General features: G+C 51.6%; 2 protein-coding genes across 43 annotated transcripts in view, besides 7 other annotated features; both read left to right on the forward strand.

Annotated features, from left to right (window-relative positions):
- Positions 1,052-1,611: an enhancer, noted in NCBI's record as "H3K27ac hESC enhancer chr3:9772855-9773414 (GRCh37/hg19 assembly coordinates)". NCBI's record gives its function as "activates a minimal SCP1, AML or CMV promoter by ChIP-STARR-seq in naive H9 embryonic stem cells {active_cell/tissue: H9 hESC(naive)}" and the evidence as "EXISTENCE:reporter gene assay evidence [ECO:0000049][PMID:30033119]".
- Positions 1,075-1,434: a silencer, noted in NCBI's record as "silent region_14037". NCBI's record gives its function as "represses an Ori minimal core promoter by ATAC-STARR-seq in GM12878 lymphoblastoid cells {active_cell/tissue: GM12878}" and the evidence as "EXISTENCE:reporter gene assay evidence [ECO:0000049][PMID:35858748]".
- On the forward strand, positions 1,616-17,896 carry BRPF1 (bromodomain and PHD finger containing 1). Of its 15 annotated transcripts, NR_160918.1 has the most exons (15): positions 1,616-2,019; positions 4,012-4,620; positions 8,880-9,839; positions 10,660-10,822; positions 11,189-11,320; positions 11,906-12,034; positions 12,233-12,422; positions 12,825-13,134; positions 13,462-13,782; positions 14,105-14,389; positions 14,889-15,036; positions 15,454-15,590; positions 15,693-15,811; positions 16,181-16,335; positions 17,047-17,896. NR_160918.1 is itself a non-coding variant. In NM_001003694.2 (14 exons), the coding sequence occupies exons 2-14, from the start codon at positions 4,022-4,024 to the stop codon at positions 17,228-17,230; spliced, it is 3,663 nt and encodes a 1,220-aa protein (NP_001003694.1). In that variant the 5' UTR covers positions 1,616-2,019; positions 4,012-4,021; the 3' UTR covers positions 17,231-17,896. The 15 variants fall into 15 exon arrangements, 14 of the variants coding, with proteins under 14 accessions (NP_001003694.1, NP_001397633.1, NP_004625.2 ...); NM_001003694.2 differs by lacking the exon at positions 12,233-12,422 and having other exon boundaries at positions 11,906-12,052; positions 13,459-13,782; NM_001410704.1 differs by lacking the exon at positions 12,233-12,422 and having other exon boundaries at positions 11,906-12,052.
- Positions 1,905-1,954: a silencer, noted in NCBI's record as "silent region_14038". NCBI's record gives its function as "represses an Ori minimal core promoter by ATAC-STARR-seq in GM12878 lymphoblastoid cells {active_cell/tissue: GM12878}" and the evidence as "EXISTENCE:reporter gene assay evidence [ECO:0000049][PMID:35858748]".
- Positions 1,965-2,094: a silencer, noted in NCBI's record as "silent region_14039". NCBI's record gives its function as "represses an Ori minimal core promoter by ATAC-STARR-seq in GM12878 lymphoblastoid cells {active_cell/tissue: GM12878}" and the evidence as "EXISTENCE:reporter gene assay evidence [ECO:0000049][PMID:35858748]".
- Positions 2,172-2,731: an enhancer, noted in NCBI's record as "H3K27ac-H3K4me1 hESC enhancer chr3:9773975-9774534 (GRCh37/hg19 assembly coordinates)". NCBI's record gives its function as "activates a minimal SCP1, AML or CMV promoter by ChIP-STARR-seq in primed H9 embryonic stem cells {active_cell/tissue: H9 hESC(primed)}" and the evidence as "EXISTENCE:reporter gene assay evidence [ECO:0000049][PMID:30033119]".
- Positions 19,407-19,456: an enhancer, noted in NCBI's record as "active region_19406". NCBI's record gives its function as "activates an Ori minimal core promoter by ATAC-STARR-seq in GM12878 lymphoblastoid cells {active_cell/tissue: GM12878}" and the evidence as "EXISTENCE:reporter gene assay evidence [ECO:0000049][PMID:35858748]".
- Positions 19,487-19,606: an enhancer, noted in NCBI's record as "active region_19407". NCBI's record gives its function as "activates an Ori minimal core promoter by ATAC-STARR-seq in GM12878 lymphoblastoid cells {active_cell/tissue: GM12878}" and the evidence as "EXISTENCE:reporter gene assay evidence [ECO:0000049][PMID:35858748]".
- Positions 19,833-26,545, forward strand: part of OGG1 (8-oxoguanine DNA glycosylase) — a 41,119-nt gene continuing 34,406 nt past the window's right edge. For 10 of the 28 annotated variants that reach the window (XM_017006497.3, XM_047448201.1, NM_001434450.1 and 7 more), the window contains exons 1-4: positions 19,833-20,304; positions 20,826-21,073; positions 21,651-21,830; positions 24,585-24,766. In XM_017006497.3, coding sequence (XP_016861986.1) covers positions 20,168-20,304; positions 20,826-21,073; positions 21,651-21,830; positions 24,585-24,766 — 747 coding nt within the window. In that variant the 5' untranslated portion in view covers positions 19,833-20,167. Of the gene's footprint in view, positions 20,305-20,825; positions 21,074-21,650; positions 21,839-24,584; positions 24,767-26,351; positions 26,503-26,545 lie in introns of those variants that run through there. The other 18 variants (NM_001434445.1, NM_001434448.1, NM_016828.3 and 15 more) reach the window with 6 other exon arrangements.

Here is a 26,545-nt window from a genome sequence, read left to right on the forward strand (position 1 = left end):
TTTTTCCATAAAATCCGAATCCTACACACGACCCATAGTTCTCAGCAGATTCTCAAACGAATTCCTGACCACTAAAGGAGATAACTTAGTATAACTCTGCTTTGATCCATCTATTCTGAATTATTTTAATAAGGATAATAACAGCTAATATTTTCTTTGAACATTCACTACATGTCAAACCGTGTGCTAGGTGATTTACAAGCATCATCTCATTTAATTCTCACAACAACTCTGAGAACAGGTACTATATATTATTCCCACTTTACCCATAAGGAAACTGAGGCTCTGAGAAGATGAGTCATTTAAGATAATTCATCAGTTTGACTTCAGATCCCAAGATCTTAATCAGCAAACCTCTTCCTGGCATGTCGATTTTATTGGGATGGTTTTTAGAAAACATACATTTTATTGGGTCAAATGCAAAGTTTGCATTAAGAAGATAGAAGCTTTCAGATGCTTTGGGCTTTGTCCCAGAACCCTGGAAGACCTTTCACGCTCCTCTTTGATGACAAAACTGGAGAAGTATTGTTTAAGGATGTCTCCCCCTGCCATGCAAGTTCTCTGAAACCCTCAAGAACTAACAACAGAGTTTTCGAGCTCTGTTTTACAAATAAGGAACTTAAAGAACTGAACTTGCCCACGTTCACATTGCTAGGAGGTGACCCACTCACATTAAATCAGCTGTTTTGGCACCATGTTCCAATCAGCAACCCGCAGCACATCCCTGCCAACCCACAGATTTCCCACCGCTTTACCAGACAAGCCCTTTCACACCCACCGGCCCCAAACCAGCCCCTTCTCTCAGACCCATACCTTTTCTCTAGCACCTCTCCTTTACTTTTCCCAAGTTTCTTCCCTTTCCTTCAGTCACGCCCCGTTATCCCTAATCGGTCCTGCCCTTTCCCCACAGCTCCGCCCCTGCCTTACCAAGCCCCGCCTGCTCCCTTCAGCGTCGCATCGCTTTTTCCAACTTTGTTCTTTATTTCTAGTCCAGCTCCACTTTCCAGGCTCATCCAAAGCTCCGCCCTTTCTCTCGCGAGTACTCTTCTTCTGTTTAGCCCCACTTTTTACCCCGCTATTCTAACAGGCCCCCGCTGTGCGGTAGCCCCGCCCCCTCCCACAAGCCCCGCCCCACAGACCGGTCTAGTCTCCAGCCCCGCCCCGGTCCTACCCATAACTACCGGTCCCTTAGGCTCCAGCCCGCATCCCTCTTGCTCCCGGCCCTGCCCCCAGCCCCGCCCCGTGACTCTGGCCCCGCCTCACCGCCTTCCTCCGAGACCAAGGCCAGGTCCCTCCCGCAGCCGCGGCGCCAGCAGGAGGCAGGGAGCGGATAGGGAGGAGGCAGAGGGGGAGGGGAGAAGGGCGGGCTCCTCACGCCCAGCCCCGCGCTCACCGTCCGTGGTTGCAGATTCGCCACAAACCGCCCGACGACCCCAGATCCCGAGTACGGTGACTTCAGTCTCCAGAAACTCCACTCTAAGATGGGAGAGCTAGAGAAGCCCTGTGGGGTGTCCAGGGTCCTTTCTGAATCCCGGAGCACGGTCTTTCGAGCCTCAGCGGGCGGGCGGGGATCCGTGGCGAAAGTGCAGCTCAGTAGCGCCGCGGCGCCACGTTTACCCTGCGCAGACGCCGTCGCCGCCGCTGCTGCCGCCGCCGCTGCCACAGCCTTTGCCGCCACGGTCTCCGCCGCCGCTGTCCTCGCGCTGCCTCTGGGAGCCTCCATTGTTCCAGCAGCGCCCGGTCCCGAGACCGGGCATCTTGGGGGCTCGCGAAACGGGCGGCGGCCGACGGAGTTGAGACCCCAGGGCGCCGGCGGGACCAGGAGCGGCAGGGGTCAGCTCAGGAATCCCGGGGAGCCGGGACCAAAGCGTGGGGCGGCAGGGGGCCGGGGTGGCGAGGTCTACGGTCTCCGGAGTTGGGGCTCCCCCTTCCCGGCCCGACTTTCCCCGCCGACCTCCCCAAGTGGGGTCGGAGCCCCGGCGGGCGCCCCCGGCGATGAGCCCGGACTCGAGGTGGCCGGTGAGTGCGGGCCTGGGACCAGGGCGGGAGTGGCCGGCAGGGAAGGGGTAGGCTACGTTCGTGGGACGCGCACTGAGCCGCGTGGCCCGGGAACCTCTCTGGCAACTCCAGTTGGGAGAACTGACAGTGCATTGCTTCCCAGCAGGCATCCTGGGGCAACAGTGTATCTTTCGGGGCTGCCCGGGCTAGTGGCAGGCGGGGAGCCTTGTTTCACTTGTTACACTTCCACAAAGGGGAAACGCCGCCGCATCCGGAGAGTGGGCTGCGGGCACTGCCGGGGCCCAGCCCTATCCCTCCGGCCCCCGCCCCTTACTTCCTCCAGCCCCCTGAGCTTCAGGGGCAGATGCAGCCGCCATTCTCCTTGGGCCCTCCCCACGGGCTTTCTGGTCTAAGTTCTCGTCTCCCTCGCCTGTGCCTCTGCTGCCGGGTTCCAAGGGGAGATTGCTGATTCGCTGTGCTACTTTGGGAACCATTCACCCGGGACCCAGCTTGGAAAGAGGAGAGCTTGTTTGTGCTTCGGTTGGTTTATGTTTAAAGACACAGCCGCAGGTAGGAAATAGAAGAGTTGCAGTTGGACGTGTAGCGTTACTGATGTGAAAATCAGGAGCCGTTGACAGTGGAGCTGGAGCAGCCCACTTGCCTGGTTAAGGCACAGGTGGAGAGGCCAAGAGGGGTTATTTTGTCAGGGAGCTCATGATAGCCCTGCCTGGCTGGGATGGTGCCAAGCCCCTAGCTGAATGGTTGAACTCAACTAGGCCGAGAGAAATTGGGGCAGTCTCTGACCAAGCTGGGCTTCCTGAGGCCTGGTGCCATCTGCTGTCTACACTCACCCAGGAATGTTGGGGAGCGGGGAGGGAGGGCCCCTGCGGACCAGCATGGAGCTGAGCATGCCTAGATTGTCGCGTTCGTGTTTGTACCCTTAGGGCCTGGCACTTGGTAGTCACTCAGTTGATGTGTGAGTGGGTGAACAGCTCAAATGTAATACAAGCTGCTGTCACTGACTAAATGACCTCAGTTTTCACTTTGTTTCACAGTACATCTCCTACCCAGTACCAGGGCCAGGCTCCCCATAAAGACCTCAAAAGTAAATGAATTCTTTCTGTGATCCAGTGATTTCTGCAGGAGTCCAACGCTAAAGCATTAGCCACCCACCCATTCAGCTTTCTACATGGCCTTCATCCCATCTGAGCTCTCAGTCTGGTGATCCCCTCATTCAGCTATTCGTTCAACAGGTCATTCATTCGTTCGCCAAAAACTGAATGTCCAGTGCATGCTAGGTACTGGGGATACAGAGGTGGATAGGCTCTGGTACCCTTGCTACACAGCTCCCAGTCCAGGGGGGAGACAACTTTCAGTATGTCAAGTGCTGTGGTAGAGGTGAGAATGGAATGCTGTGGAAACAGCTCCCCATGGGAGAGTCAGAGAAGTTGTGTCAGAAGTGACATTTGAGCTGGTTTTTTGAAGAATGAGTAGGAGCCCACCAATCAGAAAGTATGGAGGGCATTCCAAATAGGGATCATTTTGCAGGAATGAGAGGTTATAACATTCAGGGAATGGCAAGATCCCCTGTGTAGACAAAAACAGCTGTAACTTGTAAAAAGAAAGGAGGACTAGGGCCAGTCAGTGAAAGGAGCTCTTTGAATGGCATCATAGAGAATTTGGAATATTATCTTGAAGGAACTGGGAGCATCAGGAGGCTTTTAATGAAGAGAGTGTCATGATCATTACTACCTGGTAGAAAGATCATTCTCCTACATGATGTGAGATTGGGCTAAAGAAGTTGAGACATAGGGCAGGATAACCAGGCAAGAGGTGATGAGGGCCCAGATATGGGCTATGGTGGAGGAGATGGCATTTGGAGACACTGTAGAGGTAGGCTGGCCAGAATCTGGTGACTCCAAGTGAGGGGGAGGGCTAGAAAGACTGGGGTCTCTGGTGCAAATGGCCAGGAACTCATCCCCAGCCTTATGTTAACTGATCTGTGTATTCTAGATGTGACAGCATGGGGGTGGACTTTGATGTGAAGACTTTCTGCCACAACTTGCGGGCGACTAAGCCACCATACGAGTGCCCGGTGGAGACCTGCCGAAAGGTCTACAAGAGTTACAGTGGTATTGAGTACCACCTGTACCACTATGACCACGACAACCCACCACCCCCACAACAAACTCCACTCCGCAAGCACAAGAAAAAGGGGCGCCAGTCACGCCCAGCCAACAAGCAGTCACCCAGCCCCTCAGAGGTCTCACAGTCACCAGGCCGTGAGGTGATGAGCTATGCACAGGCCCAGCGCATGGTGGAGGTGGACTTGCATGGCCGCGTCCACCGCATCAGCATCTTTGACAACCTGGATGTGGTGTCAGAGGATGAGGAAGCCCCCGAGGAGGCCCCTGAGAATGGCAGCAACAAGGAGAACACTGAGACACCAGCTGCTACTCCCAAGTCAGGCAAACATAAGAACAAGGAGAAGCGCAAGGACTCCAACCATCACCACCACCACAATGTTTCTGCGAGCACCACTCCCAAGCTGCCAGAGGTGGTCTATCGGGAGCTGGAACAGGACACCCCTGATGCCCCACCCCGGCCAACTTCCTATTACCGGTAAGGCCACCTCTACCTTGCAGCTCTGGAAAACTGGTCAAGCAGGGCTCACTAGCCAGAGAGAGGTGAGAGGCACAGATAGAAGAGTGACAGGAATAAAGAATAGTGAAAGAACACTGATTTTGCCAGGGCAGTGAGTGGAATGGTACGCCACTAATGCACTTACTCTACAGTGCCACACGCTACTCCTTTATTTTATTCTCAAAACTCTCAGGTAGGTATTTTTCTCATTTCACAGATGAGGAAACTATGGTCAAGAAAGGGTGCCAGATTTATCCTTTTTTTTTTTTTTTTTTTTTTTGAGACAGGGCCTGGCTCTGTCACCCTGCCTGGAGTGCAGTTGGCTCACCCCAACTTCCTCCTTCCGTGCTTAAGTGATCCTCCCACTCAGCCTCCTGAGTAGCTGCAACTACAGGCACATGCCACCATGCCCAGCTAGTTTTTAAAATTTTTTGTAGAGATGGGGTTTCACCATGTTGCCTAGGCTAGTCTTGAATTCCTGGACTCAAGTGATCCACCCACCTCAGCCTCCCAAAGTGCTGGGATTACAGGCGTGAGCCACTGTGCCTGGCCAGACTTATCTGAAATCACATGCCAGTAGATAGCTGAACTGGGATTCAAACTCAGGTCCCTCTGACTCCATAGCTGTACTGTTTCCACTGTGGCAAAACATCCTGTTTCTGATTCCTGGTCCTCTCCATTTCCTTATGCATGACCTTGGGAAATGCATCCAAATTAACGTGTGTTTTAAGGACCCCATCTGCAGAGCAGATACGGTATTTCTCTGTCTCCCAAAAGGTAGAAGACTAGGATCACTGATTTCATAAGGTACTAAAAGCACTTTGTAAATCTGCAGAGGTAATTCTCCCACTATTTGTTCTGTTATTGTCATCTGTCCTTTAACATGTTTAAGCAGTATTTTATACTTAAACAATATTTAATACTCCTCCAGTGGCCCTTTTATTTTTGTCATTTAATTGTTTCTTTAACATGAGGTAAAAGATGAAGGGATATGGGGGGCAGTGTGGTGCTGAAACTACATGGAGAAATCCTGGCTGAAGGATGGCACTAAAACCAAGTGTAAAACCTCTCTGAAAGTTGGCATCCAAGGCAAAAAAGGCATTCTGATGAGTTAATTTGCCAAGAGTGTAAGTTTGTTTTCAGCTACTTAGAAGGCCTGGTCTCTGAGGAGGATTTGTCATAAAAGCTTTTATATGAAAAGCATTTTTTACCAAAAGTGCAGTCCACATGATGTTAAACCTCCATTTTTTTTTTTTTTTTTTTTTTTTTGAGACGGAGTCTCGCTCTGTCACCCAGGCTGGAGTGCAGTGGCGTGATCTCGGCTCACTGCGACCTCCACTGGGTTCAAGCAATTCTCACGCCTCAGCCTCCCGAGTAGCTGGGATTACAGGCACGTGCCACCACACCCAGCTAATTTTTGAGTTTTTAGTAGAGATGGGGTTTCACCATGTTGGCCAGGATGGTCTCGATCTCCTGACCTCATGATCCACCCGCCTCAGCCTCCCAAAGTGCTGGGATGACAGGCATGAGCCACCGCGCCCGGCCTAAATCTCAGTTCTTTAAAAGCAAATCTGGAAACAAGCAATATGGCCTGTAGCACTTTCTTCTCTCCACTGTTTGAGTTTAAGCCCATCTCCCACTTCCTCTCCCATTCTTTCATCTTTTCAGTCCAACTCCACTTCCTTCTGGCTTTCCACAGTCTTTCTCTTTTCTGTTCACACTGACTGCCCTACCCACCTCTGCCCTACTCCAAACACACAGACCCCTCTTTGGACTTCCCCTCCCTCCCAATGGCCCTTGAGCTCTCTCTGCTCTAACAGGCAGCCCAGCCCAGCTCATTCAGCTGCTTTTCTTCCTCCCTCCACTTAGACTGACTCTTTCTTTCTGGGGATCAGATATGTTCTTCAGGGGAGCAGTTCTCAGCAGGTACACTGCAAACAACTGAGATGTGTATTGCATGGAATTTGTTACCACTGTTGGTAAAACTGCCCAAGTTTTGGAAACGATTTACTTTTTATATAAATTGAGAAGATTTGAGGTCATCTCTCTAATAGCATCACTTTCTCTTGCTTGCATTCTAATATGCTTCCTTGAGGGGGAGAGAGAGGGTGGCATGTCAGCTGGTGTGCCAGGAATTATACGTGACATGCAGCCTACCTTATCTGTACTGCAGCCTGTAATCTGGGTGCCTGTGGGAGTGTGTTATGCACCATCACATAATGTCACGTGTGTCATGGCAGAGAAAAGGGTGAGAATTGGTGCTGAAGAGAGCTGGTGCCAAGGCCTGGAAGAAGCCAGATGGTTCACACCATCCATGAGTCATACCCTTGTTCAAAGATAGGGAGGTTGCAGTCACCTTGGGGAAGAGGTAAAAGGCTAAAAAGGAAGAAGCTGCTTCCTACAATGTTTCAGTCTCTCTCCTCCCTTCCACCCCCAAAATGCCTTTCAAATGAACAGTGATGAGTGCCTGTATCTGTATGGCGAATCAGACACAATCCCCACTTCTATCGTGTAGTGGAGGAGTTAGACACATACACAGCTATAATGCTAGGAAGGTGGGTAAAGGCCATACAAAAACTAATAAGTTAACATTTATTGAGTGCTTGCTGCACACCAGGCACTGTCCTAAGCACTTTACCTGCATTAACTCATTTAATGCTCAGAATAGCTATGTGAAATAGGTTCAGATTATTAGCATCACCACTTTACAGATGAACAAACAAGGCTCAGGGAGCTTAGCTCACTTGCCCTCTGTTAGACAGCACCCAGGCAGTGTGGCTCCAGAGCCTGTGTGTGCTGGCCCACTCTAGCAGCCAAAGTTCCATTTCCCACATAAGAGGAGAAACGAGCTAATGTTTTTCTAGGGCCTGCTGTGTGCCACTTGACTTAGCTCATTCATTTTTCAAAACAACTTTTTAATAAAAAGATAAATGTACATATTTGCACACGTCTGTATGTGGTCACACATGACTTAGTGGTTAGGTGGCATTTTACACCAAGGTGCTCACACTTCCTTCCATGGGCCTGCTGGGGGTTGCTGGAGCCTGATGGGGTAGTAGGCACTGGGCAAGGTAGTATATAAATAAATGTAAAGGCCAAGAGTTTGTGGCCTATTCATTTTTATAATTCCATATAACCCTGACAGTTTCTTTGTGAGTGGGTAGTATTATCCTCGTTCTGTCATCAGTAAAACTGAGGTTTAGTACAGCAGTGATGTCCTAAAAGTCATAAAATGGCAGAGGCAGGATTTAAATCTGGTTTGCTTAGAAGCCAAAGCCCCATCCCTTCCTTTGTACCCTGTAGTTTACAGTGCCAGAGTCTAGGCCACCTATAGCATGCCAGGCAAGGAGCACCTTCTCTGTGTGACAAGCACCGAGAGCAGCCCTCAATTCCAGGCCTGTTGGCATAGTAAGTGATACAGGTTGGACATTAAGAGCACTGGGCTGGAGGTTGAATGCCTCTGCCTCTGCCACTCCCTTGTTATGTGACCTATCTATGTTTTGATTAACTTCTCAAAGCTTAAGTTTTCTTATCTGCAAAATGAGGACAACAAGAACACTAACTCTATGGCTGTGGTAAGAATAAATGTAATAGTTAAGCACAATGCCTGGCTCATAGGAAATCCTCAGTAAACCTTAGCTATTATAATTGTTATCTCCCAAGGCTATCCAGTGAACAAACATAGCACCTAGAGTTTGACGGAGCCTTGAGCTGATGCTGACACTAGCTGAGAGAAGATCCATGGCAGCTCTAGTCGAGGCCCTGCCCACCAGTGCTAAAACAACTTATATGTAATTTGTCAATGACATCCAATGACCTTCCTTCTTCCCCGATTCTTCGTACCATCATCTGGACCACTCTAAGGGGTACTAGCTGCCCCACCTTCCTCCTTTTAGAGGAGGCTGGCTGAGCCTCTGCAACCCCAAGAAGATGGTGTCACATATAGCAGCTAGGACATGAGCTTTGCAGTGGCAGACCTGGGTTCACATCCCAGCTCCACCACTTTCTCACAAGTGAGCTGGGGCCAGGTGATTAACCTTCCAAGCCTTAGGTTTCCTTTTCAGCAAAATAGAAACGATGATAGTACCTATAATATCTGGAGTTAAGGTGAGGATGAAATGAGACAACACATCTGAAGGGCATAGGCACAGAGTAAGTGCTCAATGGCAAATGACCCATCATCTTTAAGGGAGGGAAATCTCAACCATGTGATGCTGAGTTCCCTGTTTGTACCGTAGGTACATCGAGAAGTCTGCAGAGGAGCTGGACGAGGAAGTAGAGTATGACATGGACGAGGAGGACTACATCTGGCTGGATATCATGAATGAGCGTCGGAAGACAGAGGGTGTAAGTCCCATCCCGCAGGAGATCTTTGAGTACCTAATGGACCGACTGGAGAAGGAGTCGTACTTTGAGAGTCATAATAAAGGCGACCCTAATGCGCTAGTGGACGAGGATGCTGTTTGCTGTATCTGCAATGATGGTGAGTGCCAGAACAGCAATGTCATCCTCTTCTGTGACATGTGCAACCTGGCCGTGCACCAGGAGTGCTACGGTGTCCCCTATATCCCTGAGGGCCAGTGGCTGTGCCGCCGTTGCCTGCAGTCACCCTCTCGTGCTGTGGATTGTGCCCTGTGCCCCAACAAGGGCGGTGCCTTCAAGCAGACAGATGACGGGCGCTGGGCCCATGTGGTGTGTGCCTTGTGGATCCCTGAGGTCTGCTTCGCCAACACGGTCTTCCTAGAGCCTATTGACAGCATTGAGCACATCCCACCAGCTCGCTGGAAGCTCACCTGCTACATTTGCAAACAACGGGGCTCAGGGGCCTGCATCCAGTGCCACAAGGCCAACTGTTACACAGCTTTCCATGTGACATGCGCCCAGCAGGCTGGCCTTTACATGAAGATGGAGCCTGTGCGGGAGACAGGCGCCAACGGCACCTCTTTCAGTGTCCGCAAGACAGCCTACTGCGACATCCACACGCCTCCAGGTTCAGCACGCCGACTGCCTGCCCTGTCCCACAGCGAGGGTGAGGAGGATGAAGATGAGGAGGAGGATGAGGGTAAGGGCTGGAGCTCAGAGAAAGTCAAGAAGGCCAAGGCCAAGTCCCGGATCAAAATGAAGAAGGCACGGAAGATCCTGGCAGAGAAGCGGGCAGCAGCACCTGTGGTGTCAGTGCCCTGCATCCCACCACACAGGTATGTGGGGAGCCGGTGGACAGGCAGATGAGGGAGAAAGGAGCCTCCAGGAGAGGAGCTGGCAGCCTCCTGAGTGGAATGGCAGGGCTGGGCTATCTTCCCAGGAGCTGCATAGAAGTTAAAAAGAACATATTTTCAAAACAGATAGTTGTCTTTAGCAGGTCACCTGACTTTCACATTAAGAGCCAGAAATGTCAGCTTTTATCTGGCATAGCTAACAGGCGTTTTGGAACTGCCCTTCATTTTGATGGTGTGGTTTGTTAAGTTGGGATGGAAGAGGATGGAACTGCCACTGGCAGCAATGGAAAAAATGGTCTGAATATGAAGAAACAAATAGAATGAAAAGCGGGGAAGGGGAAGCTCAAGAAGTTGTGAAGTGGTTACTGCTGCTCATTTGGGCTGTGATGGCCAGGGATTTTTTTAGTTCTCTTGTGCCGTTTATTTGATTTACTATATATTTCTGCTGTACAGTTGTACTTCATTTTAAAACCTTCAAAGGCTCAGTCTCAGTGGGGCTCCCAGGGTCAAATAGTACTCTGGGCTGCAGTGACTAGAGCAGTCTTAGGGGCAGAAGTCCCTGATTGCTGGTGTACAGGGTTAGGGATCTGGTTTAGTGCTGGGAGCTTGGTTTCCTGTCTGCCACGGTACCACTGATGGCACCACTCTTTCTTCCTTGCCTTAAGTCCAGAGTCCCAGGCCTTTTGGACAAGAGATCCTCTCCCTTCATCCCCATTCAGGAACTTTCACTGGCCAGAGACCCTTGCTCTGCTTAAGAGAATCAGGGCCCAACAAGTTTTACTCTTTGTTTCCTGCCTCCCAGGCTTAGTAAAATCACCAACCGCCTGACCATCCAAAGGAAGAGCCAGTTCATGCAGAGGCTGCACAGCTACTGGACACTGAAGCGGCAGTCACGGAATGGGGTCCCATTGCTACGTCGCCTGCAGACACACCTGCAATCTCAGAGGAACTGTGACCAAGTTGGGGTACTGTGTCCAGTTCCCTGTGGGCTCTGGGAACTAGCGCCAGGGGGACGAAAACCAAAATTTGCAACTGTAGTTTCCAGTGTCAGAGGGCTTAGACTCTTTCCTCCTTTAAGCTAGCCCTCAAACCAGGATCAGCATGGAATGTTCAATGAAAAGATGTTGTTCCTATGTGTTTATGTATTCATTCAACAAACACATACCAAGCATTTATTCTGCCAGGCCTTGGGGACACACAGATTGAGGCACTACCAATAAATTACTGTGCTCCCTCTTTTGGCTTGACCTGAGTTTCCTGGGCTCTCTTCTCCCTGTTGACCTTTCCTCTGGCTTTCTAATCATCCTCTGATCTTCGTTTTGCCTCTACAGAGAGATTCTGAGGATAAGAACTGGGCCCTTAAAGAACAGCTCAAGTCCTGGCAGCGGCTCCGGCATGACTTGGAGCGAGCTCGGCTGCTCGTGGAATTGATCCGCAAGCGGGAAAAACTCAAAAGGGAGACGGTGAGTGCTCCTGGGCCAGCCCTATTTTATAAAAGAAAAAACAAAAAATTAGCCAGGCATGGTGGCAGGCGCCTGTAGTCCCAGCTACTCGGGAGGCTGAGGCAGGAGAATGGCGTGAACCTGGGAGGAGGGGTTTGCAGTGAGCCAAGATCGTGCCACTGTACTCCAGCCTGGGCGACAGAGCGAGACTCCGTCTCAAAAAAAAAAAAAAAAAAAAGACCCAGGAGAAGGAATAGCGTGTGTACCCCAGCCAGATAGCAGCAGGGCTGACGCTGGAGTCAGGTCTCCTGGTGCTCGGTGTGCTTTTAGTTCTGCTGGAAGCAGAATGTCACAGGAGCGTATGAACAGAATCCTCAGTTATGTGACATAGGTAGCTGGTGCTGGTAGTTCAAGAAAGGGGGAAGCCAGAATTGTTGGTGCAAGTTTCCCTGGGTGGAGCCTCATAGAAGGTAGACCTGTATGAGTACACCCAGCTGTGAGGGTGGGAAAGAAGGCGGGTTCCCAGGCCAGCTGGGACCATATCCTCAGACCTCTTTGCCACTGAACTGGCCGAGGCCTGGCTGATCAGGCCTTTTTCTATGTTAGATCAAGGTTCAGCAGATTGCCATGGAGATGCAGCTGACTCCTTTCCTCATCCTCCTTCGCAAAACCTTGGAGCAGCTCCAAGAGAAGGACACAGGCAACATCTTCAGCGAGCCGGTCCCTCTGTCTGAGGTAACCGAATTGGACGAAGTAAGAATCCCTTCCCCTCACTCCACCTTCTCTCTGTTCCTCTCCCAGTTGGACCCCTGCTGCAGGTCTGGGCCAGGACTAGATGGGGACCTTGAAGAGAGGGGCTGGTGGCTCTGGGGCAGGATGAACTGGAGCCACATGTATCACCTGGACTCTGTCTTGTCCCTGTCACACCCCAAGGGCCCAGAATGGGAGGCAGTCTGCACTCCTTCCCCAGAGGCAGGGACTGAGTCTGCCAAATGAATAATCCCAGGGCAGGAAGACACTTTCGGGGTGCTGAACCCTAGAACGGAGACTTTAGAAGGCTCAGCACCTAAAGAACCAGCTCTGAAGCCCTAGGTCCTGACTGGCAGACTCTTCTCTCTAAAAGGTATAAAATGAGAGGCCTGAGGCAGCAGCCTCCTTATAAGTTACTGTTAAGTAAAAAGAGCTGTAGGAATGCAAGGTGGTGTTTATTTTCAGAGGAGTCCCCAAGCCATTTTCTTACTAAAGCCTCATATAGTCTAGAAAGTATATTTGGCTCTACTTTCATCATTTTCCAGGAGAGGAAAAGTAGGCCCAGAGAGGTTAAGAGACTTGCCAAAGTCACACAGCTTGTGACTGGTAAAGTCAGGACCAGAATCCAGCTTTCCTTTCCCCTGTGCTATATGCCTGCCTCTAACTGTGGTGGGAGGAGGTTGCTGGATGTGTTTCAGGGGGGCTTGTTAGGAGCAGGGTTCGGGGCAATAAGGAGGATATCTCCACTTAAAACAAACCTGCCCTGCCCTTCCAGGTACCTGACTACCTAGACCACATCAAAAAGCCCATGGACTTTTTCACCATGAAGCAGAACTTGGAGGCTTACCGCTACCTGAATTTTGATGATTTTGAGGAGGACTTCAACCTCATCGTCAGCAACTGCCTCAAGTATAACGCCAAGGACACCATCTTCTACCGGGCAGCAGTGCGGCTTCGTGAGCAGGGTGGTGCTGTGCTCCGCCAGGCCCGGCGCCAGGCAGAAAAAATGGGCATTGACTTTGAGACGGGCATGCATATCCCCCACAGCCTGGCTGGAGATGAGGCCACACACCACACTGAAGATGGTGGGTGATATATCACACACACATATAAGAGGCCAATGCCGGGGATGGACAGCTTTCCAAAAGTCCCCTCCTGGGAGCAGGCAGTGTAGGCAGAAAGCAGCTAGGCTGAGCAGTGGCAAGCTATCCCCAGGAATGCTCCCCAAGAAGCCAGACTGGGTGAATGGATAGCAGTGCCCGCCATTCCACATCTTGGTGCTGCTATTTTACAGCTGTTCCTGGTGAGAAGCCCAGGGGGGATGAGTGGGTTTCTTGCTGCCTGCCCAGGTTCAAGGGGCCCTGAGGGCTGCCCTGAGTCTGACCTTTCCCCTCCAACCCTACCCCTAGCAGCCGAGGAAGAGCGGCTGGTCTTGCTGGAGAACCAGAAGCACCTGCCAGTGGAAGAACAGCTAAAGCTGCTTCTGGAGCGGCTGGACGAAGTGAATGCCAGCAAGCAGAGTGTGGGCCGCTCACGGCGTGCAAAGATGATCAAGAAAGAGATGACGGCACTGCGGCGGAAGCTTGCCCATCAGCGAGAGACGGGACGTGATGGCCCTGAGCGGCATGGCCCCTCGAGCCGGGGTAGTCTGACACCCCACCCGGCAGCCTGTGACAAGGATGGGCAGACAGATAGTGCGGCAGAGGAGAGCAGCAGCCAGGAGACAAGCAAAGGTCTGAATCCCATGGCAAGGTGGACCCCAAAGCAAGTCAGACTTTGGCTCTGCAGCACACACTCAACCCCTGCCATTCCCCAGGCAGAGGTCCCTCCTACACAGCTAGCTGTACTTTCTCCCTCATTCCCCAATCAGGGGCCTCTTAGCTGCCTCTCTGGCTATTTGTATAAGAGTTAATCTTCCAAATTCCAAGCCCCTAAAATGATCTCCCCAACGTTAGCTGGAGTAATGGTCCTATATGCCCAGGGCATGACCCTGGATATCTACCCTTCTCAAATCAGGCCCCTCACCAACTCTCCTTCTTTCTTTCTCTGCTCCAGGCCTGGGTCCCAACATGTCCTCAACCCCCGCACATGAGGTGGGCAGGAGAACCTCAGTTCTGTTCTCCAAAAAGAACCCGAAGACAGCTGGACCGCCCAAGAGGCCGGGCCGGCCCCCCAAAAACCGGGAGAGCCAGATGACCCCCAGCCACGGAGGCAGTCCTGTGGGGCCCCCCCAGCTCCCCATCATGAGTTCCCTGCGTCAGCGCAAGCGGGGTAGGAGCCCCCGGCCCAGTTCGAGCTCAGACAGCGACAGTGATAAGTCCACAGAAGACCCCCCAATGGGTGAGCCTTACCATCACCCAGCCCCCCAAGAGAGTGAGCAAAGCTGCCATTCTTCCCAGCATACTCCCAGTTACCCCTTTATTTGCCCATAAAAGAGCGAGCTAGAAGGGTCCTTAGGAATCCTTTAACTCCACTCACTCATCTTACAGTTGGGAAAACTGAGGCCCAGAGACACTACGACCCAGCTAAAGTCCCATCCAGGGCCCCCTGCCTCCATTGTATCACTTTACCTTTTCTCTTCTCACCTTCCTTGGGGATCTCCTGCCCTTTAAGCCATTTGTGTCCTAAAGCCAGTAACTGCCGAGGGAAGCAAGGGGTGGAGCAGGGCTGTGGCCAACTGTGGTAGACACTGCCCAGAGCTAGCTCTGCTGGCCAAGGTTGGAGGAATTTTCCAGCACAGAAGGGGAACCCAAGCTCCAAGTCCCTCTTACCTCCATGTCATCTCTGATCTACATCTTCCTGACCGGTTCCTTCCCTCCTCCCCTTCCCTTCAACCAAGACTTACCAGCCAATGGCTTCAGCGGTGGAAACCAACCAGTGAAGAAGAGTTTCTTGGTATACCGTAATGACTGCAGCCTTCCCCGGAGCAGCTCAGACTCTGAGTCCAGCAGCAGTAGCAGTAGCAGCGCTGCTTCAGACCGGACCAGGTACCAGCCCTCCAGATCGAGGCCAACCTCAGGGGATGCCCTTCCAGGGCTCTTGGGCCTGTGTAGGTTTCCCTGTTGGAAGTGGGGTGGCAGCCATCTCAGTCTAGATTAAGATGGCTCAAACTCAAGGTTCTCTGCTAAATAAATAAATCAGTGTTACCATTAATAGAACAGAGAGAACCATCCTGGATTAAGGTGATGATTAGAGTATGCACTCCTGCCGCCACTGCTCAGGCTAACCCACCTCTGTTAGGTCATCAGCCTAGCCCCTGTGGGTGTTTGAATTTGAAATTCCTCATATAGCCTCTGCTTTCCAAAAGTCTCAGACCCTGCGGGCTTTAAGAGCTGAGGGCACATACCATGCTGTTCCCCATTCTTCCCCTCCTTTGAGCTGAGCTCCCATTGTCTTGTCCACAGCACAACGCCCTCAAAACAAGGCCGGGGCAAACCCTCCTTCTCTCGGGGCACTTTCCCAGAGGACAGCAGTGAGGATACCTCAGGCACTGAGAATGAGGCCTACTCCGTGGGCACTGGCCGCGGCGTGGGCCACAGCAGTAAGTTCCCTTGCCCAAGGCCAGGGATGCTGGGGACCCAGTGTCAGGGTCTCGCCAGCCCCCCAGCTGCTGATCCACCCCCTCTCCCCCATTCCTGTGAAGTGGTAAGGAAGAGTCTGGGCCGGGGAGCTGGCTGGCTGTCAGAGGATGAGGACTCCCCGCTGGATGCTCTGGACCTCGTGTGGGCCAAATGCCGAGGCTATCCATCATACCCAGCTCTGGTATGCTTGCTTCTGTTACACTTCTTGCTTTCCAATCCCAGAATACAGATTCACAGTTAGCAGACTTTTCCTACTCCCTGCTGAGCTGTGGGGCACAGAGTTTCTTGGTAAGGTAGACTGGTGGGCAGATACAGCTTGAGTACCACTTAGAGGCTCCCACTCAGTTTCTCCATCTCTCCCTTTTGCTTCTCTTTGCTCCTTGGGCTCTGAAATAATTTAGCATGGAAAGAAGCTGAGGGTCAGCATTGCAGTTCTAGTAGCATGATACCCTCTCTGTCCCCACTTCAGACATACTCTCTAAGTTCTTGAGGAGGAAAAGCCTTGGGAGGACATGGACTGAACCAAACTGGGCTCTTATTATATCCTCAGATCATTGATCCAAAGATGCCCCGAGAAGGTATGTTCCACCATGGGGTTCCCATCCCTGTGCCCCCACTGGAGGTGCTGAAACTTGGGGAGCAGATGACCCAGGAAGCCCGAGAGCATCTCTACCTCGTCCTCTTCTTTGACAACAAACGAACCTGGTAAGGAGGGGAGCATTTGGTGTGACTCACAGCCACAGATGCAGCCCTGTGTGGTATGGGGGCAGACTGCCAGGAAACTCCAGCAACAGGCAGACTGGGCTATCACAAGTCAGTGGGGGAGGGACTTAGAACAGTTTTTTGAGCGAAAGGGTTGTGTCGACCATGTGTCTGAGAGGCTGAGTGGGCACTAGTGGACACAGCTATAGCTAGAAACCAAAGGACCATCAGAGACTTATGACAAATATAGAGGTGGCTCCCACCCAGACTCAGATGGCTTCTAGACTTAGTTTTCCCACCTCTGCCTCCACAGTGACAAAATGAGGATAAAGCAGGCATAAACATTCAGGCTCTGAATCCCTGTTCTGTCACATTTACACATGTAGTCTTTTTGTTAATTGTCTGCAGAGGATATTCAATGTCAGTAAAGTCTGCCTAGAGCCTATGGCACAGGGTAGCTATTTCTGGTGAGGTCAGGGTGCCTCCTTTTTGTACCCATAAATACCCTGTGATTACCCTCCCGCCGCCACCACACAGTATAACTGTTGACTGGGCTCTTTCATCTCTAGACCATGAACAGTCCTTTGAGGGCAGGGACCATCACAGAGTCTGGCCAGAGTGGGTGCTTGGGTGGTGTGTTTGAGTGAATAGAGGAGGAAGGCTGGTCCTTGTTCTCCCTGAGATGATTTATTTGATCTTCACCTTATCCTATAGGCAGTGGCTGCCCAGGACCAAGCTGGTTCCTCTGGGTGTGAACCAGGACCTAGACAAGGAGAAGATGCTGGAGGGCCGCAAGTCCAACATCCGCAAGTCAGTACAGATCGCCTACCACAGGGCTCTGCAGCACCGCAGCAAGGTGCAAGGCGAGCAGAGCAGTGAGACCAGCGATAGTGATTGATACTGCTCAACACAGCCCAACCTATAGTGCCCTGTGACTTCTCTCCTCCCCTTTGCTCACTGTCCTGGAGTGGCACCGGCCTCTGCACTGACTCATTTCTGGTCTTGGGGCCAGTCTCAGGGGAAGCTGGGTGGGGGAGGTCCCTCCTGCCCTAAGTGCAGCTGGACTGTACAGAACACTCCAAGGGCCAATGGCAGTTCAGCGCAAGGAGAGGGAGGGCCCACAGGTCAGAAAAAGCTCCAGAGACCTCACAGCATTGTAGGGCGGGGTGGTGGGCCAAAGTTAGGACACTGCGTAAAACAGGCCATCCCACCACCTCTACCTGCTCATGCCAGGAGAATCCATAACTGCCTAGAGGCCTGGGGCCCCTACCGGTCGTGAGGTGAGTGGGCATCTGTCCAGCCTGGAAGAGGGGCACTAGGTGACTCCCTCCCCTGCTGTTGTAAATACTGTAATTATCGGAGAATTTAAATTATTCTCATTTGTAACTGCGTTTCCGGGTCGCGCCAGAGTCATTTGGTACTAAAAAAAAAAAAAAAAAAGACTGGGGGCTGTCCCCATTTCCCTTCTCTTTCCCATAGATTCCCCCACCTTTCAAACTGGTTTGTATTTATTTCAAAGGAAGAAAATATATTGATTCTTAGAAAATAAACTGTCAATTTAGAATTCTTTGTTCTTGCCCCCTGCCAGGGCAAAGGGGATACAAAGGGAGGTTCTGTGCCCCAGGGATGATACATAATTGGGCCCAAGTGGTTGCTGACTGCTGTGCATGCTACATTTCATAAGACACAGCAAAGAGAGCCCCTGTTGCCCATGCATGGAGTGAGTGGCAGGCCCTGTGTTGAGCACCTTTAGACATTCAGCTTTGCGTAATCCTTGCAATAACTATAGGGTAGTTTAATAATAGACTGGTTATCTCCACAAAGATGCTGAAGTTTCAAAAAATTATCTTGCCTAAGTTCCTACAACTAGGAAGGTGCAGAGCTAGAATTGGAACCCAGGTCTGTTTGCAAACCTGGCTCTTCAACCAGTATGCTGAACTGCCAGGGGAAGAGTCAACTATCGATTCCTACTTGGCCCTTAGAGGCCTCAAGTCCTTTGCCAGTGGCATGGCCCAAGTGTTTCAGCATCAATACAGCTGAGACCTTCCCCACTGCTTAACCGGAGACAGAGCTGGGATGGAGACGGTTGCTCTTTGCTCACCCCCAACCTCAGCACCTTCTTTCCAGACTCCACCGACATTTATTGAAGGAATGCCTTCCAAGTGCTAGGCGCCTGTGGGATGGCATGCCTACAGATAGGAACAGTCACAGGAAGAAGGGGCGGCCCAGGCCTTGCAGCCACTGAGGACTGGCACTGAGACAATGATGGCACTGGTCTGATGTTGATTCCATGCTGACGGTACACTCCGCTAGGTCTCTGGCTGGGACACAAGGGTCAATCCGCTGCAGATGTTGCTCTTCAAGAATTTGCAGTCTGGGCGGGGTGCGGTGGCTCACGCCTGTAATCCCAACACTTTAAGAGGCCGAGGCGGCTGGATCACGAGGTCAAGAGATCGAGACCATGCTAGCCAACATGGTGAAACCCCATCTCTACTAAAAATACAAAAATTAGCTGGGCGTGGTGGCGCGCACCTGTAGTCCCAGCTACTCGGGAGGCTGAGGCAGGAGAATCGCTTGAACCCGGGAGGCGGAGCTTGCAGTGAGCCGAGATCGCGCCATCACACTCCAGCCTAGGCGACAGAGTGAGACTCCGTCTCAAAGAAAAAAAACTTGCAGCCTGATAGTTAAGATACAGCAACCCCAAATCCCTATGCTAAAAGGTGAGAATGGCCCAGATAAAGGTCATGTCTCCTAGCTCCCTGCTTTTTCATGCCATCCTCCAGAAGGGAAGAAATTAAATAATCCATCCTCCTACTCCAGGCGACTAGAAGGCAGGCTGCCTCAGGGCCACACACTGGGACTTGGACTCAACCTGATGGGCTTCTGGGCCCAGCCCCAGACAAACCCCCGGCAAACGTCCCATTCCGAGGAAAGCATGAGCAGATGGAGTATGGAAGAAATGCCCAAGACGGCAGGCAGCAGCTGTGGCGGCCGGCGGGACGACAATCCGAGGAGAGGCCTCTGATGTCCTGAGGTCTCAGAGGACGCCTAAAGGCCTTGAATGGGACAAGCTTAGCGGGCGGGCGCAGAAGAGAATAATACTCTGGAGACACTTCCCGAGGGCTCTGGGGCCGGAGCTGTGTTCGCTCCGGTTCTTGGTGAAGACAGGGTTCGTGGGAGGCGGCCCAAGGAGGGCGAACGCCTAAGACTGCAAAGGCTCGGGGGAGAACGGCTCTCGGAGAACGGGCTGGGGAAGGACGTGGCTCTGAAGACGGACAGCCCTGAGGAACCGCGGGGCGCCCAGATGGAACTCGTTAGCGCCCCGAGTGCAGACAATCCCGGAGGGGGAAAGGCGAGCAGCTGGCAGAGAGCCCAGTGCCGGCCAACCGCGCGAGCGCCTCAGAACGGCCCGCCCACCCTGATTTCTCATTGGCGCCTCCTACCTCCTCCTCGGATTGGCTACCTCTAGGTGAAATGAGCGGTGGTTGAGCCCTACTTCCGGTGGTGCTGTGGTCTGCCCCTGGAGAACCCAGAAGAACACAGCTGTGCGCGCCCACAGGCTCTGGGGGCGGGAGAAGATAAGTCGCAAGGAGGGGGCGGGACCTACACCTCAGGAAAGCCGGAGAATTGGGGCACGAAGCGGGGCTTTGATGACCCGCAAAGGGCGAGGCATGCAGGAGGTGGAGGAATTAAGTGAAACAGGGAAGGTTGTTAAACAGCACCGTGTGGGCGAGGCCTTAAGGGTCGTGGTCCTTGTCTGGGCGGGGTCTTTGGGCGTCGACGAGGCCTGGTTCTGGGTAGGCGGGGCTACTACGGGGCGGTGCCTGCTGTGGAAATGCCTGCCCGCGCGCTTCTGCCCAGGCGCATGGGGCATCGTACTCTAGCCTCCACTCCTGCCCTGTGGGCCTCCATCCCGTGCCCTCGCTCTGAGCTGCGCCTGGACCTGGTTCTGCCTTCTGGACAATCTTTCCGGTGAGTGACTGAGCCTGAGAAGCCTGTCCCCTCGGACTGGCTCCTGCCGCCTCAACACTGCCTGGCATGGGGTACAAAGGAATTTGGGGGATGATGGAAGAAACCCGGGGTACAAAAGAGGAAACAAGCACGGGTAGCCAACCTGTTACCTTTAATATGTCTGTACAGTGATAATTGTAAGGATCCAGCGGTATAACCGATGCAGAAGATAATAGCACTTGTTTTTCTTTTTTTGAGACAGGGTCTCGCTCTGTTGCCCAGGTAGGAATGCAGAGAGGCCCATTCCAGCCTCGACCCCCCGGGCGCAGCCTCCCGAGTAGCTGGGACTACAGGTGTGCGCCATGCCCGGTTAAATTTTTGTATTTTTTGTAGAGGTGAGGTTTCGCCATGTTGCTCAGACTGGAAGATAGCACTGTTACTTGTATTAGTTTCGTACATGGAGCTATTGTAGGATAGGAGGGACCCCAAAGGGTGCAAGAAAGGAAATTGAGTGCCAGGGTTGTCATGTGCCTTGGGCTCAGGTGGAGGGAGCAAAGTCCTGCACACTGGAGTGGTGTACTAGCGGATCAAGTATGGACACTGACTCAGACTGAGGAGCAGCTCCACTGCACTGTGTACCGAGGAGACAAGAGCCAGGCTAGCAGGCCCACACCAGACGAGCTGGAGGCCGTGCGCAAGTACTTCCAGCTAGATGTTACCCTGGCTCAACTGTATCACCACTGGGGTTCCGTGGACTCCCACTTCCAAGAGGTGGCTCAGAAATTCCAAGGTGAGTACAGGACCTGGGCTGGGGTTAGGGTTCTTGGACATAAGTCACTTCTCTATGACTCAGTTTTGCCACCTGTAAAATGGGGATTATATCTACTTCATAGGCTTTTATGAGGATTTAAGGAACTAATACATGTAAAGTGCTTAGAATAATGCCAGGCACATAGTAAGTATTATTACCATTATTATTATCCTGCTAATCACCATAGTGAAGTGACAAGGATTTTGAGCCCATTCCTGGTTGTGTGACCTAGGGCAAGTGATTTCATTCATTCTGTAAATATATACAAAGCATCTGCTGTGTGACCGGGGATACACCAGTGAACAAAACAGACCCAAATGCCAGTCCTCATGGAGCTTACATTGTGGCCTCTTTATCTGTGGAATGGGATGGTAACTCAGCCCTCACAAGATGCTATGAGGAATGAGAGGTCTGGTGTTGCTTTCTCTAACGGTGCTGACTCTCATTCTCCTGGGATCCTCCTGGAGTTTTGGTACCTAGGATCTGACCTGTGGGTGGGAAGAGGCCACACCCAACAGCAGGTACCTCTCCTACCCCCTGCATTTCTGGTCTCCAGGTGTGCGACTGCTGCGACAAGACCCCATCGAATGCCTTTTCTCTTTTATCTGTTCCTCCAACAACAACATCGCCCGCATCACTGGCATGGTGGAGCGGCTGTGCCAGGCTTTTGGACCTCGGCTCATCCAGCTTGATGATGTCACCTACCATGGCTTCCCCAGCCTGCAGGCCCTGGCTGGTGAGTAGGTGGGTCCCCTGCCCCCAGGCCTTCCATCAGCTTTCAAGATCTGTTCATTTCTCCCCTGGTTACCTTCTCAAGGCTTCCTGCCTTCCCAAACACTTCCCCTATCCAGAACCGCCCTGCCTGGTCTGATCAACTCCAGTTACTCATCCTCCCTATGCATCCCTAAAATGTCAGCACCTCACTGGTCTGTGCTTTTTGCCCAATGGGTTCAATGCCTAATCAGAAAAATATCTGTATACAATGTACAGTAGTTTGGGGTTAAGAGCATGCATTCTGGGGACAGACCCATGCCTGGTTCTGAACCCCAACTCTCACTTGGGCACATTATTTAGCATCTCTGTACTAAAGTTTCTTCATCTGTGAAGTAGAATAATAATAGCACCTACCTATGCTATTATTGGAGTTGTCATGAGGGTTGAAGAAAGGAATATACATACTGCACCTAGCACAGTGTTTGGCACACAGGAAGTATATGTAAAATTCAAGCTGGTATCAGCCAGGCGCAGTGGCTCACACCTGGCTAACACAGTGAAACCCCGTCTCCAGCCTGGGCAACAGAGCGAGACTCTGTCTCAAAAAAAAAAAAAAAAAAAAAAATTCAAGCTGGTATCATTGTAGTGAATGGGATAGTTTTGTATCTAAGAACACGTGTGTTCTTCACAGTAGCCCTGTAAGGCAAATGTTTTACAGAGGCAAGTGTATCGATTGGCAGATGTGAGAACCAAGCTAGGACAAGTGCTTGGGAACTGCATAGCAAAGAGACAGACTGCCTCAAAACAGGAGAATGTTTTTGGTGCTTAGAAACCCATTCCTGGCCGGGCGTGGTGGCTCACGCCTGTAATCCCAACACTTTGGGAGGTCGAGGCAGGCAGATCATCTGAGGTCAGGAGTTCAAGACCAGCCTGGCCAACATGGTGAAACCCCATCTCTACTAAAAATACGAAAATTAGTCAGGCGTGATGGCAGGCACCTGTCCCAGCTACTCCGGAGGGTGAGGCAGGAGAATTGCTTGAACCCGGGAGCAGGAGGCTCCAGTGAACCAAGATCAGACCACAGCACTCCAGCCTGGGTTACAGAGCGAGACTCCATCTCAAAACAAACAAAAAGAAACCTGGGTCAGGCACGGTGGCTCACACCTGTAATCCCAACACTTTGGGAGGCTGAGGCAGGTGGATCACCTGAGGTCGGGAGTTTGAGACCAGACTGGCCAACCTGGTGAAACCCGCTCTCTGCTAAAAATTAGCTGGGCGTGGTGGCAGGTACCTGTAATCCCAGCTACTCAGGAGGCTGAGGCGGGAGAATCATTTGAACCTGGGAAGCAGAGGTTGCAGTGAGCTGAGATCATGCCATTGCACTCCAGCCTGGGCGACAGGGCGACAGGGCGAGACTCCGTCTCAAAAAAAAAAAAAAAACCTGGCCGGGCGTGGTGGCTCACACCCGTAATCCCAGCATTTTGGGAGGCCGAGGCGGGTGGATCACGAGGTCAGGAGATCAAGACCATCCTGCCTAATACGGTGAAACCCCGTCTCTACTAAAAATACAAAAAAAATTAGCCGGGTGTGGTGGTGGGCGCCTGTAGTCCCAGCTACTTGGGAGGCTGAGGCAGGAGAATGGCGTGAACCCGGGAGGCGAAGCTTGCAGTGAGCCGAGATCGTGCCACTGCACTCCAGCCTGGGCGACAGAGTGAGACTCTGTCTCAACAAAAAAAAAAAGAAACCTGTTCTTGAGTCTCAGCTCCTGGCTTAGTTAGTCATAAGGCCTCAAGAAAGTCATTCACCTCTTCCGGCTTCTCTTAGCTTGTTTGTAGAATGGGAATAACAGTTTCTATCTAGAAGGGCTTTGGGAGTGAATAAAGCAATCATGAGGCAGTGTAGTGTAATGGGTTAAGAGCACGGCGTTAGCCAGGTGGGGTAGCTCATGCTGGTAATTTCAGCACTTTTGGGAGCCCAAGGTGGGAGGATGGCTTGAGCCCAGGAGTTTGAGACCAGCCTGGGCAACATAGTGAGACCTCATCTCTACAAAAAATAAACAAAATTAGCCAGGCATGGTGACACAAGCCTGTAGTCTCAGCTACTCAGGAGGCTGAGGTGGGAGGATCGCTTGAGCCTTAGGAGGTCAAGGCTGTAGTGAACTGAGATTGTGCCACTGCATTCCAGCCTGGGTGACAGAGCAAGACCCTGTGTCAAAAAAAGAAAAAGCACAGGTCTTGGTGTCCCAGACCTAGGTGCAAGATCTTATCTCCCCCATGTCCTTTCTTAAGTAAGTTAACCTCTTCTAAGCCCTCATTTTCTCCACATGTAAAATGGGAAAACAGCAGTACTGTCAGTGGGGTTCTTGGGAAAAGTAAGCATGATAATATATCTGAAGCATGTTGCCTAGCACTTGATCATAGAAGCTGTTGCTATATTGTGGTTATTTTTTTAGATCATGAGTGTGAACACTCTTTCGGAAAGGTTAAGGAACTCAGTTGGGGAGCTCCTCAAGGGAAGCAAGTCCTCAGTCCCTGGACTAGACTTGGGCTCCGGGGCCAATTCATAGCAGGTGCTCAGAAAACATGTGTAGAGGGACAGGACCCAGGCCTAACCCTTTCCCTTGCACATAAAAGTGTCCACTATCCCATAGAGGGTGGGGAGGTAGGAGGGGAACTTAGGAAAAGCACTCTTGTGAGGTAGAGAGCTCACTTACTAGCCTAAGGACAGGAAGAACTTGAAGATGCCTGATGCTTGCCCTCCTCCTCACTCCCCGCAGGGCCAGAGGTGGAGGCTCATCTCAGGAAGCTGGGCCTGGGCTATCGTGCCCGTTACGTGAGTGCCAGTGCCCGAGCCATCCTGGAAGAACAGGGCGGGCTAGCCTGGCTGCAGCAGCTACGAGAGTCCTCATATGAGGAGGCCCACAAGGCCCTCTGCATCCTGCCTGGAGTGGGCACCAAGGTGAGGCCCCAGGGGGTAGGAGCTGCCCTCTCTACTGACACTAAGAGGAGAGCAGGAAATGAGCCAAGCCTGGGAGCTGGGTGGAGGCTTGGCTTCCGGAGGCAGAGCAGGAAGGAGAAAGGATATAAGTAGATGTTTTATGAGAGAAAAAAGCAGAGTGCAGAAAGAGTAGAAAGGATATAGCCCTTTGAATGAATTTCTAGAAAGACCATTTGTTCAGATGCAACACATATATGCTGCTATATATATGCAGCAATTTCCAGAAGGAAATTGCAGGAAACTAAATAATAGTTTCCTTGGGGGAGACAAATGGGAAGATATTTCTTCTTTTCGGTTTTTTGTTTGTTTGTTTGTTTTGGTAGAAATAGGCTCTTAACAATGTTGCCTAGGCTGGTCTTAAACTCTTGCCCTCAAGCAGTGTTCCTGCTTTGCCCTCCCAAAGTGCTGGAATTACAGGGATGAGCCACTGCTCCCGGCCACATTTTGTTCCTTTCGTAAAATGACATGTACTGACAAAACTTTTTGCTTGATGTCAATAGGGTTAACTGGCAATAAGATGACTGGAAATTAGGCATTTGTCTTTTTTTTTTTTTTTTTGAGGTGGAGTCTTGCTTTGTTGCCAGGCTGGAGTGCAGTGGTGCAATCTCGGCTCACTGCAACCTCCGCCTCCCGGCTTCAAGCTATTCTCCTGCCTCAGCCTCCAGATTAGCTGGGATTACAGGCATGCGCCACCACACCCAGCTAATTTTTGTATTTTTAGTAGAGATGGGGTTTCACCATGTTGGGCCAGGATGGTCTCAATCTGACCTCGAGATCCACCTGCCTCAGCCTCCCAAAGTGCTGGGATTACAGGCGTGAGCCACTGCACCCAGCCTTTTTTTTTCTTTATACTTCTCTGTAGTTTAAAAAATGAATTTTTGCTTAAAGATTTTTTTTTGATGGGCTTTGGACTACAGCCTAACATTAAATCTTGGTTCTGCCTATTCTCAGCCATGTGACTTTGGCCAGGTCACTTCACCTTTCAAAGCCTCAGTTTTCTTGTCTGTAAAGTGGGTGTGGTAATACCTTCTTCCCAGGTTATGATAACCTGGCCCACATAGGTGTTCAGCTAGTAGCACCTCTTATTACAGCAATTTCAGTGTATTCATAGGCCGCGCATGGTGGCTCACGCCTGTAATCCCAGCACTTTGGGAGGCCAAGGTGGACAGATCACTTGAGGTCAGGAGTTCGAGACCAGGCTGGCCAACATGGTGAAACCCCATCTCTACTAAAAACACAAAAATTAGCCACACGTGGTGGCACATGCCTGTAATCCCAGCTACTTGGGAGGCTGAGGTAGGAGAATTGCTTGAACCTGGGAGAGCCAGGATTGCACCAGTGCACTCCAGCCTAGGCAACAGAGCGAGACTCCATCTCAAAAACAAACAAAAAAAAAGTGTATTCATAGATAGTATCTGTTGATTGAGAATATAGAACAACAGTAACCCCAGAGTGAAGGAGAAAGCAGCCGGCTTTGGGGCTATAAGCAAGATGCTGGCCACATGCTGCCCTTCTTCCACAAGGGCTCATTCTGTGTCTGTCAAAGGTGGCTGACTGCATCTGCCTGATGGCCCTAGACAAGCCCCAGGCTGTGCCCGTGGATGTCCATATGTGGCACATTGCCCAACGTGACTACAGCTGGCACCCTACCACGTCCCAGGCGAAGGGACCGAGCCCCCAGACCAACAAGGAACTGGGTGAGGAAAGTGGGCTGCAGGGGCTGGCAGTGGGCTGGGATGG

This window comes from Homo sapiens, chromosome 3 (assembly GCF_000001405.40).
Source record: "Homo sapiens chromosome 3, GRCh38.p14 Primary Assembly".
Classification (NCBI taxonomy): Eukaryota; Metazoa; Chordata; class Mammalia; order Primates; family Hominidae; genus Homo; species Homo sapiens.

Coding starts and splice junctions, on each gene's coding strand:
- BRPF1 (NM_001437892.1), top strand. CDS start 4,022: ATGGGGGTGGACTTTGATGTGAAGACTTTCTGCCACAACTTGCGGGCG. Junction 12,035..12,824: donor AGCCGGTCCCTCTGTCTGAG/GTAACCGAATTG, acceptor CTGCCCTTCCAG/GTACCTGACTACCTAGACCA. Junction 16,336..17,046: donor TTTGACAACAAACGAACCTG/GTAAGGAGGGGA, acceptor CTTATCCTATAG/GCAGTGGCTGCCCAGGACCA.